At 45.9% G+C, this 12,506-nt stretch overlaps 1 annotated feature.

Moving 5' to 3' along the window:
* Positions 10,170-10,671: an enhancer, noted in NCBI's record as "H3K4me1 hESC enhancer chr11:64257463-64257964 (GRCh37/hg19 assembly coordinates)". NCBI's record gives its function as "activates a minimal SCP1, AML or CMV promoter by ChIP-STARR-seq in naive H9 embryonic stem cells {active_cell/tissue: H9 hESC(naive)}" and the evidence as "EXISTENCE:reporter gene assay evidence [ECO:0000049][PMID:30033119]".

Here is a 12,506-nt window from a genome sequence, read left to right on the forward strand (position 1 = left end):
TTAATGACTGTGAGCATGAGATAGGAACTGTGTCTGGGCTTGTTATAGAAGAATAGTAAGTATATAAAATTCTGTAAAATCAACTTTATTGAGCTATAAGTTGCACACAATAGAATGCACCTATTTTAAGTGTGCGGTTCAATGGGCTTTGGCTTTGACCAACATATATACCTGTGTAACCACCACCTTCATCACCACTTCCCTGGTCCTGGCTGATCATCAATGCTTTCTGTCACCATACATTAGTTTTTAGCCTTTTTGGAATTTCATGTAAATGTAAATCATACTTTGTGTAGCCATTTGTGTCTAGTTCCTTTTGCTCAGTGTAACATCTGTGAGATTTATCCATGTTTTGGTTATTGAGAATAAAGCTACTATGCACATTTAAGTACACATTTCTGTGGAGATATATGTTTTTATTTTTCTTGAGTAAATACCTAGGAGTGTGATTCTGGTTTGCATGGGTAAGGATATGTTTACATTTATAAGACAATGCCAAATTATTTCCAAAGTGGCTGTGCAATTCTGCATTTGCTCCAGGAATGTGTGAGAGCTCCAATTCCTTCTTGTCAACACTTGAAATTATCAGTCTTTTAAATTTAAACAATTCTAGTAGTGTCAGTGATTTTTTTTTTTTTTTGAGACAAGTTATCGTCCTGTTGCCCTGGCTGGAGTGCAGTGGCACGACCATGGCAGCCTTGATCTCCTGGGCTCAAGCATTTCTCTCACCTCAGCCTCCAAGTTGATGACATTTCAGGCATGCACTAGCATGCCCAATTAATTTTTTCATTTTTTGTAGAGATGGGGTCTTGCTATGTTGCCCAGGCTTGTCTCAAACTCCTAGGCTCAAGTGATCCCCCCACCTTGGCCTCCCAAAGTGCTGAGATTACATGTATGAGCCACCATGCCCAGCCTAGGGTTTTAATTTAAATGTGTATGATAACCAATGATATTAAACTTCTATGTATGCACTTACTGGCCATTTGTATATCTTCTTCTGTGAAATATCTTTGAACTTTTTACACATTTCTAAAAATCGGGTTGTCTTCAAATTGAGTCGTAAGGGTTCTTTACATTCTGTATACCACCAGTCTTTTAGCAGATAGATGCATTGTAAATAATTTTTTTTTTCTGGCCTGTGGCTTGCTGTTTAATTTCCTTTTTAGCAGGGTCTTTTGAAAAGGAGAAATTTTAAATTTCCTCAAGGTTTAATTTATTGAAAATTTATTGGCTCATGATTTGGGCTTCCTAAGAAATCTTTGCTTACCACAGGGTTGTGAAGATTTTCTCCTGTTTCCGTCTAGAAGTTTTATAGTTTTAGTTTTTATGTTTAGGCCTATGATGTTTTTCAAATTCATTTTTGTGTACCATATGAGGAAATGGTCATTTCCATATATAGTTGTTTCAGTACTTTACTGAATAGACTATCCTTTCCTCATTGGATTATTTTGGCAGTTTTGTAAAACATCAACAGACCATGTATGTGTGGGTCTGTTTCTGGATTCTCTATTCTGTTCCACAAATATATGTTAACTCTTATAGCAATATTACTTGCCTTGATTACTGTAGTTTTTTGTTTTTTTTTTTTTTTGATGGAGTCTCGCTCTGTCACCCAGGCTGGAGTGCAGTGGTGTGATCTTGGCTCACTGCAACCTCTGCCACCCGGGTTCCAGCAATTATTTTGCCTCAGCCTCCCAAGTAGCTGGGATTACAGGTGCCCGCCACCATGCCTGGCTAATTTTTATATTTTTAGTAGAGACGGGGTTTCACTATGGCGGCCAGGCTGGTCTCGAACTCCTGACCTCAGGTAATCCCCCCACCTCGGCTTCCCAAAGTGCTGGGATTACAGGCATGAGCCACCGTGCCTGGCCTACTGTAGCTTTACAGTAAGTCTTCTCATTGAAATGTTATATATATAACAAAATAAAAATTTGTTTTTATGTTATTTTAGGTTTTCCACATTTTCTCATCTTTTTCAAAGTTATTTTTGCTCTTCTAGGACTTTTCTGTCTCCATATAAATTTTAGAATCACCTTATAAATTTTTATTAAAAAATCTACTGGGCTTTTAATTGGGATTGCATTAAACCTCAGCTCAACTTGAGTAAAACCAATATCTTAATGATATTGAGTTTTCCAATCCATGAACAGGGTATATCCCTCCATCTATTTAGGTCTTTAATTTCTCTCAGGAATGCTTTGAAGTTTTCAATTTACAAGTATTGCACATATTTTATTAATTTTATCCCCAAAGTACTTCACATGCTTGATGAAAAATTTTTCATTTCCTAATTCATCCTTGCTAGATTAGGTATACAATTGATTTTTGTATATTGAACTTGTATCCAGCAACCTTGCCAAATTAACTTCTTAGCAAAACAGACTGGATGCTGTGTTTACCCCTGGGCACAGAGGGACACACACACAGCATCCCAGGCAGTGCTGCAGATGTAAGGTTGTTCCCAGATTTGTCCATAGAGTCATTCCATTTCATTGCCGTCAGAGACTAACAAAGGTAAACCTTTATGCAGGGCCAGAGAGAGGCTTCTAAGGCATAACATTTAGGAAACTCTTGCTCTTAGCAAGGACAAGGTATCCTTAAAAAACCTCCTTAAATTTTGCATCTTGCTCCCATGTCATCATTATAAAACCCGAATGGAATTCCACTTGCTAAAAACTCCCTTTTTCATATGCATATTTAATGTTCACTCGAAAATCTAAATGCATCTACAGAAAGAAAACAAACAGAACTATTTCTGTTTAAAAGTAATTCTTTATTTTTAAATCTCCTGTGTGCCCACAGACATCCAGGGCACAAAATAAAGAGCATGCACGTGGCAGCTCCAGATCCCACAGGCACAGGGATGTGACACTGGATTTTCCAGAAATGCAGCTGCCACACAAACCAAGGGAGATGGCTCTTTGTTTTTTGGGGACTTCTCCAAGAATCGTTCACCATGGCAGAGCCTCACGGTGCTGAGAACAACACCACTGATGCTGGCTTCCATCCATTGGCCTCTGCAGCTGTCCCTTGAAAACATGTGCCAGACAGTCCTGGAGAATTCTTTTAAGAGACTAGGAGCAAGTATTATCTAGTGTGTGTTAAATATACACAGAAGAAACTTTGGTTTTGGGTGGGGGATGGTGGCTTGCGTCTGTAATTCCAGTACACTGGGAGGTCAAGGCAGGAGGATAGCTTTAGGCCAGGAGTTCGAGACCAGACCTGGCAACTTAGTGAGACTTCATCTCTACAAAAACCAAAACAATTACTGGAAGTTGTGGCTCATGCCTGTAATCCCAGCACTTTGGGAGGCCAAGGTAGGAGGATTGCTTGTGTCCAGGAGTTCAAGACCAGCCTGGGCAACATAGTGAGACCCTGTCTCTACCAAAAAAAATTAAAAATTAGCCTGGCATGGTGGTGTGTGCCTGTAGTTCTAGCTACTTGGGAGGCTGAGGTGGGAGAATCTCTTAAGCCTGGGAGGTTGAGGCTGCAAGGAGCTATGATCATGCCACTGCACTTCAGCCTGGATAACAGAACAAGATCCTGTCTTAAAAAAAAAAAAAAAAAAAAGAAAAGGAAAGAGAAAAAAAGAACTTTGGTTTTCTATGGAAAATAGACACAAATCTTTCCTATTTCTAGGCACAAACAATTGTTCAGGCTTTGCACCATATAAGTGTCCCACAGAACATTTGCAAGGTGGCAGGAAGCTGAGTGTTGCAGTGAGGGGCTGTCCTGGACAATGGGGGCACCTGTTGCTCTGGCTGTGCCACCAAATGCCAGACACAATCATGGCAACCACCAAAGGGCTCTTATAAATGTCTGAATGCCACTGTAGAGAAATACTGTTTTTAAAGGGGCATTGGGCTGCAGGGTGGCAAGAGTCTCATCAAAGTGTGCGCCCAATTCAAATACTCACCTTCCCCACTGCTACTGTTACCAGAAAGGGGTCCCGATCCAGATCCTAAGAGAGGGTTCTTGGACCTCACATGAGAAAAAAATTGAGGTAAGTCTGTAAAGTGTGTTTCACGTGTCCGTGTGAAGAGACCACCAAACAGGCTTTGTGTGAGCAACATGGCTGTTTATTTCACCTGGGTGCAGGCGGGCTGAGTCCAAAAAAGGAGTCAGCAAAGGGTGGTGGGATTATCATTAGCTCTTATAGGTTTTGGGATAGGTGGTGGAGTTAAGAGCAATGTTTTGGTGGTAGGGGGTGGATCTCACAAAGTACATTCTCAAGGGTGGGGAGAATTACAAAGAAACTTCTTAAGGGTGGGGGAGATTATAAAGAACCTTCTTAAGGGTGGGGGAGATTACAAAGTATGTTGATCAGTTAGGGTGGAGCAGAAACAAATCACAATGGTGGAATGCCATCAGTTAAGGCTATTTTCACTTCTGTGGGTCTTCAGTTGCTTCAGGCCATCTGGATGTATAAGTGCAGGTCACTGGGGGTATGATGGCTTAGCTTAGGCTCAGAGGTCTGACAAAGTGAAAGCAAGTTTATTAGGAAAGTAAAGGAATAAAAGAGTGGTTACTCCAGTGGCAGAACAGCGGTATGGGCTGCTCACTGATTACACTTATAGTTATTTCTTGATTATATGCTAAACAAGGGGTGGATTGTTCATGAGTTTTCCAGGAAAGGGGTGGGCAATTCCTGGAACTGAGGGTTCCTCCCCTCTTCAGACCATAAAGAGTAACTCCTGAATGTTGCCATGGCATTTGTAAACGGTCATGGCGCTGGTGGAGTGTCTCTTAGCATGCTAATGTATTATAATTAGCATATAATGAGCAGTGAGGACAACCAGAGGTCACTCTGTCACCAACTTGGTTATGGTGGGATTTGGCTGAGTTCTTTGCCTCAAACTGTTTAATCAGCAAGGTCTTCGTGATCTGTATCTTGTGCCAACCTCCTATCTCATCCTGGGACTTAGAATACCAAACTTCCTGGGAATGCCGCCCAGTAGGTCTCAGTCTCATTTTACCCAGCCCCTACTCAAGATGGAGTTGCTCTGGTTTGAATGCCTCTGAGGTTACAATGCAGGAAGCATTTCTCTCAGACCTCCTCTCCCGCTCAGTATCAGTCTCTCCCCCTCTGCTACCTCAAAACAAAATATTAAAAACAAAACAAAACAAAAAATACTCCAGTCTTTCCCTTGACCACCCTTTCCAGCCACAACCCATTTCTCGGTTCCCTTTCAGTGCCAAACTCCTCAGCAGAGCCGTCCGCTCCTGCTGTCTCCATTCTATCACCTCACACCCACTTTTTAATCTAAGCAAAAGAATCTGAACATATAGAAGAGTGCAGAGAATTCACAGCCCAGATTTGACAACTGCAAACATTTTGCTGTATTTGATTGGGATTTGTGTGTTTCATCCTCCCCACCCTTTCCTCCCATGCTTCCTGCCTCTGAGCCCTACCCCAGGCTGGGTCCCGTATTCCACACTCACCGCCTGGTTGAGGAATCCCAGTGGGGCGGCGCCTCCATCTGTCTGGGAGTTTGGCTGGTGGCCGCCTGCGCCTCGGGTAGGGAAGCTCCACGAGACAGAGATCTCGTCCATTCTCACCCCAAGCTCTCCCGCACCTCGTTAAGGCATCCAATAAATAGTTGTTGCACCGAAGAATGGCCACCCACCAGCTGAACTCCCAGCCTGATCCCTGATTGCCAATAATAGGATCTTACATGTCAATTCAAGCCTAATTATTTCCCTTTTGATTATTTTTTTGTCTTCTAGTTCTGATCATTTTTGTAATAAGGCACTCCCTGGTGGAAACATGGAAAGTACAGAGAGGTAAAAAGCGGAAGGGGAAAACTCACTCATAGTCCCATCATCCAAAAACAGCCCAATCGCATGGCTCAAGGCAACACCTCTTTGTCTTACCTATTTTGACGTGGATGCAACAGGTAGAGAGTTTCATTCACCGGAAACTCCACCATCGATCCTCATAAGAAAAGCAGAGAGAGAACTACGTGCTCCCTGGGGTCCCATGGGTGGCAATGAGGTCCTCAGTCCAGTTCCTGTGAAAAGATGTCTCGAGAGTTTTTTTTGAGACAGAGTGTCACTCTGGTGCCCAGGCTGGAGTGCGGCGGCACGATCTTGCCTCACTGCAACTCCCACCTCCTGGGTTCAAGCAATTCTCATGCCTCAGCCTCCTGAGTAGCTCGGATTACAGGTGCCCACCACCAGGCCCAGCTAATCTTTTTTTTTCATTTTTAGTAGAGATGGGGTTTCGCCATGTTGGCCAGGTTGGTCTCAAATGCCAACCTCAGGTGATCTGCCCGCCTCGGTCTCCCAAAGTGCTGGGATTACAGGTGTGAGCCACCGTGCCTGGCCGAGTCATTTTTGGCTGCAGAAAGGTTTGGGGTTCCCCCTGGTTGGTGGGGGATATCAATGAGGGGAGAGGTGGAGAGATTTCAGCAACTTCTGTGCCTGGGAAACTTTGAGATGGGGAAGAGAAGCCTACACTGGATTTATGGGTAGCCTTCTAGGCAAAGCTCTCTGTGAATCATTGTGGCTTCTGGATTCCAGCTGCCATTTCCTTCAGTCCTACATCAAGCAGTGACTGGGCCACATGGAGCCCTGCGAGTGATGGGTTACAGTGACAGTCACACATGTATATGTCTGAGGAAACTTCATTGTAGCCAACAGCTCCTGCTCAGGATTGAAAGAAATAGAGTATCAGAGGCATATTAGAGTTTTCCAGAGAAACAGAACCCATAGGCTACATAGAGACATAAGAGGAGATTTATTATGGGAATTGGTTCACGCAATTATGGAGGCTGAGAAGTCCACCATCTGCCACCTGCGGAGTGGCCTCTGGGGGCCAGGGCAGGATGGGGAGGGAAGGGAGGGAGTCAGAACCCCCTCCTGTACACACTTCCATGTTGATATTATTACATTTTGTTGTAATCATTCATTTATGGGTTTGTGCCTCCCAATGACTTCCTGTTCCTCTAAGGGGACTATGTCTTATTGATCTTTGAGTTACCAGCTCCATGGACAGCACCAGCAGATGCATAGAGCTCAACACATCTGTTGGCCGAATCCACCTCCCTTCACCCTGAGGCACCCTGCACAGGGTTTTCAGCACTGCGTGGATGCTCCTTCCCCACCTGGCTGACTCCTTGAGCACAGCTTTAGTCATGAGCCCCATGGGACCACCCCAAGTCTCTCTGTGGATGCACTTGGCCAGATCATGGGTTAAGCTCCTTTTTGGGGCTATGCCCACTGGGCCAGTACTCATAGTTCTCCTCCTGCCAGGAATGCCGTTAGTAGGTAGAGCTGGGCCACTGCCCCGCAAAATGGACACGTGGCTCTGCCTAAGGCAGCAAGGACCACCAGGATGGTGTGGGAGGAGGGGAGGAAAAGGACCTGGGGCTCTGAGGCAGGGCAGGCTTCATGGGTCTGTGCGGCCACTTAAGAAGGGCCCAAGCTTGTTCCAATGCTTTCCAACCACCAACTTGATACTACTTCTGAATAAAAGGCCTGTGTTTTCATTTTGCACCGGAACCCACACATTTTGTAGCTGGTGCTGCTGTGAGGAATTAGCAGAGGAGGGTCCCAGAAGCAAGAAGGAACAATGGGCTGTTTAGAAGAAGCTCTGGGCCTCAGCCACCCTCAGAGAGCAGTGATGACCGGAGCTTGGGCAGGGGGTGGGTGAGTGGGGGGCAGGGACATGGCTGGCATGCTCTCTCTGCCCTGATCGGAGACCCACGATTCTCCAAGGCATTGGGGACCAATATCCCTGGTCCACGAATGGCCACAGGCCCCAGTGGTGAACTTCGTTTTTTTCTCATTGGAGAGAAAATAGCAGAGTGAAGACCTGCGATTGAAGATCACCCCAATGTAGAAATATTTTTTTCAGAGAAAAGAAAAATCGAGTTCTCAGTGTTCCAGCATGGCTTTGCCAAGACTGAGAGGAGGCTGGGGCAGATTGAGCCCCATGAGACCACCCTCATGCCCCCACATCCAACAACTGCAAAATGTTCAGTGACCCAAACAGATGACAGCCAGTCACAGGGTCACAGGGACCCGAGCTGCACAGACAGCTCATCCTCACCCTCATTATATGCAGATTCTGTATTTGCAAATTTGCCAACTTGCTTAAATGTATTTGTAAATCCAAAATCAGCACTCAGGGCCTTTTTTTTTTTTTAATCTGAGACAGAATCTTGCTCTGTTGCCCAGGCTGGAGTGCAGTGGCGTGATCTTGGCTCACCGCAAGCTCAGCCTCCTGAGTTCACGACATTCTCCCGCCTCAGCCTCCCGAGTAGCTGGGACTACAGGCGTGTGCCACCGCACCCAGCTGATTTTGTTTTTGTATTTTTAGTAGAGATGGGGTTTCACTGTGTTAGCTAGGATGGTCTTGATCTCCTGACCCTGTGATCCACCCTCCTTGGCCTCCCAAAGTGCTGGGATTACAGGCGTGAGCCACCGCGCCCGGCCAGTCAGGGCCTTTTGAGTTCATTTATGGACAGGCCCAGTGGCCAAAAAAAAAAAAAAAAAAAAATGCTTTGAATGTATGTTCCCAGTTGAGGCTGAACAAGGAACTGCCATCTTGCTTCAGCTCTTATGTCATAAACACATTTTTTCGAAGTCTATTTGGTGCTATGGTTTTGCATTTTCATGTTTCTTCTAGGTGATTTTGTTTAAAATGGCCCTGGCTCCAGAATAGCACTAAAGTGCTATCTGTTGTTCTAAGCACAAGAACCTGCCCCATGGAGAAAACACATGTGTTAGATACACTTCGTGCAGGCATGAGATAATTAATCAGCAATAGACACAAAATGATGTATATTTAAACAGAAACACACATAAAGGAGAATTGTTTATTCATTGACTAATAAATGTGACCAGAGGCTGGGCATGGTGGCTCACGCCTGTAATCCTAGCACTTTGGGAGGCCGAGGTGGGTGAATCACCTGAGGTCAGGAGTTCGAGACCAGCCTGGCCAACATGGCAAAACCCCGTCTTTACTAAACATACAAAAATTAGCCAGACGTGGTGGTGTGTACCTATAATCCCAGCTACTTGGGACGGTGAGGCAGGAGAATCACTTGAACCTGGAGGGCAGAGGTTGCAGTGAGCCGAGATCGCACCACTTCACTCCAGCCTGGGCGAAAGAGCCAGACTTTGTCTAAAAAAAAAAAAAAAAAAAAAAAAATGTGACCAGAGGCTCACAGGACCCTGACCCCAAGTTTCCCTAAAAGCAATAATTCAGTATCCACTAGTTCTAGTTCAGTCTTTGAGGGGACCTTACAGAATATAATTATTGCCAATGATGAGTATCAGCTGTAATCCGAGAGGCCTAAGAAGTTTAGGAATGCATTTCGGGTTTCTTTGCCTTGTGGGTATATAGACTTAAATCACCACTTTTTTGATGAGAAATAGGCTTAGAGAGATTAAATGATGCTATGGACGAACATTTGTGCTCCTCCAAATTCATATGTCAAAGGCAGAATCTTTCTGATTCTAGAGCCAGGACATACTTTTCAAACATTTGCACCGAAGCATCCCCAACACGGAAGAGGGAAATACGGGTCCCTGGGGGTACAAAGGGGTGGAAAATGACCCTTCTGGGTGTAAAAGTCCTTGAAAGTCTCTGTTTGACCTTAAAAATTCCTGTAAATTATTCATTCCACTCTACAGATAGTATGCTTTTGTTTTACCATAAAATATTATATTAAATCACTAGTTGAATGGTGTAACTCCAACAGCTAGACACACTCACTCGGATGTCATATACACTCCTAGAAAGAAGGGGCTGCTGAGCCTAACTCATCCCTGTGTTCCCTGGGCCCAACAGAATAGAGAGTCCCACACAGACACGGGATGAAGAGGGTCAGACAGAGGCACGGGATGAAGAGGGTCCCACACAGGCACGAGATGAAGAGGGTCCCGCACAGACACGGGATGAAGAGGGTCCCGCACAGACACGGGAGGAAGAGGGTCCCGCACAGGCACGGGAGGAAGAGGGTCCCGCACAGGCACGGGAGGAAGAGGGTCCCAGCACAGGTACAGGATGAAGAGGGTCACTGCCAGAAGCCAGGGCGCTGCGAGAGACAATGTGACAAAATCATTTCCTTAGGCATGGTCCTCTGGACACTCCAGCTTGGGCCAGTTTTCCACACTCCCTGCGGGACACGCATGCGCCTCTATCCTGCTTGACCACGTGGGGGCGCCCCACACGCGCTGTACCCCGGTACCCGCACCTCTGCGCGTTTCACTCAGATGTGGCTTTGTTTCCCACGATGTCCGCATCGTCCTCTGTGTCAGCCATGGTTGCCATGGATACCGTGGCTCCCAGCCAGAGGAGGGTCTCAGGGCTCAGAGGCTTTGTTGATGTTAGGCCATCAGTTCAAGAACAGGACCACGCAGTGGGGAGCTGTGTGCTGATGCGGAAGGACCCTGTGGATGTTACCGGGGAAGAATGAATGGAACTCCCTTCTGAGCAGCCTCAATGGAGACCAACCCAACACGCTCACCTTGTGTTCACCCCGTGCAGCAGGGACTGCCCCTGCCTCCCACGCAGGAGGGGCCAAACCCACTCACAGCAGGCCTGAGGCCCCCAGGTCTCGGGGTCACGGGGGAGTTCCTTGTTCCTCTGTCCCTCGTCCTTTCTGTCAGCTCGCCGTGGCGTGTTGATGCTGGCGTCGTGGTCCTTCGTCTTCCTTTGTGCTCACACTGACGGTTTCTGGACTTACGCATGTGGATGTCTGATAAGTGCATCCAGAGAGCCATGCCTTTTCATAAATGATGGTTGCTTCTCAGATTCACTGTGGCCAGGACACTGCGTTTTTGGAGACCACGTGCCGGCGGGCACACACCCTCCTGTTGCTCAGATGAACCAACCGGCCTCCATTCCTGTGCTTCCGCAAGTGGCCTGTTCCACACCTGCAGCCGTCTGTGTGCCAATCAGGGACTGCTGAACAACACCTGTGGCTCTGAGGGCGTCCTCTGAGGGATCTCACCCGAGTCCCACGGAATCTGATTCTGCAGCAGCCTCCCTTTCCCAGTGGCCACCCAGTCCCCACGCTGCCCACTGGGGCTCTTCTCGACCCCCATCATGGGCGTGTGGCTTGCCTGGCCGTGACAGCAGGCTGTAGTTTCCTGCACCCACTGCACCCTCTCTCTAGAACATTCTCCAGCTTGAGCAGCATCTTCAGGAAACGCCATCTGATCACAGCGCCCATCCGCGGCGCAGACCCACTCCTCCCTTCCATCAGTGTGGCTTTTGTGTTGGTTCAGTTACTCTTCTTGGTTTCTTTTGAATAATTTCGTTTTCCTTTCCTAATTTCTTAGGATGAATACAACATATTCGTTCTTTTGATGTGCTTGGCTCATCTTCCTACTTTAATAACGAAAGCATTTTAAAGTGCTAACATTTCCTGTGAGTATTGGTTTTTGAGGATTCACACAGATTTCGGGATGAAACGTCCTTTATTATTATTATTATTATTATTACTTGCAGGATAATATGCCGTTGTAAAACTTCCTATTTGAGCTAGGTGTAAGCTAGGAATGTGTCTCTTAATTTTGAAGTTGTAAACATTTTTGGGTTATCTCTGTAGTAATTATTCCCAATTGTTTTGGATTATGTTTAGAGGATTTGCTGGTAAAGCCTGTTTAAAAAATATTCTCGGCCCGGCACGGTGGCTTACGCCTGCAATCCCAGCACCTTGGGAGGCCGAGGGGGGTGGGGGCACGGATCACTCGAGGTCAGGAGTTTGAGACCAGCCTGGCCAAAATGACGAGACCCCATCTTTACTAAAAATACAAAAATTAGATGGGTGTAGTGGTGCATGCCTGTAATCCCAGCTACTTGGGAGCTGAGGCAGGAGAATCGCTTGAACCTGGGAGGTGGAGGTTGCAGTGAACCAGGATTATGCCACTGCACTCCAGCCTGGGCGACAGAGTGAGACTCTGTCTCAAAAAATAAAATAAAAATAAAAAATAAATAAAGACATCCTCAAGGATTTCTTTATGGCTAAGAACAGGAATGTGTTCCATGGACTTGAAAAAATGAATCCCTACTCAGGTGATATAAAGATATATTTCTATTAAGTATGAAGATTTTAGTGTATCTTATTGTATATATTGACATTTCCCACTATACTTGTATATGTGTGTTTACACATATTGATATGTGTATACATGTACACATACATAAATATATACACATACATATACGTGTGTGCATCTTTTTTTTTCCCCGAGATAGGGTCTCAGTCTGTTGCCCAGGCTGGAGTGCAGTGGCGTGATCTCGGCTCACTGCAACTTGGCCTCCTGGGTTCAAGCTATTCTCATGCCTCAGCCTCCCAGGTAGCTGGGACTACAGGCACCCGCCACCACATCTGGCTAATTTTTGTATTTTTAGTAGAGACAGTGTTCCACCATGTTGGTTAGTCTGGTCTTGAACTCCCGACCTCAGGTGATCCACTTGCCTTGGCCTCCCAAAATGCTGGGATTACAGGCGTGAGCCACTGTGCCTGGTCATGGATCTATATTTTAAT

The sequence above is a fragment of the Homo sapiens genome, chromosome 11 (genome assembly GCF_000001405.40).
Source record: "Homo sapiens chromosome 11, GRCh38.p14 Primary Assembly".
Classification (NCBI taxonomy): domain Eukaryota; kingdom Metazoa; phylum Chordata; class Mammalia; order Primates; family Hominidae; genus Homo; species Homo sapiens.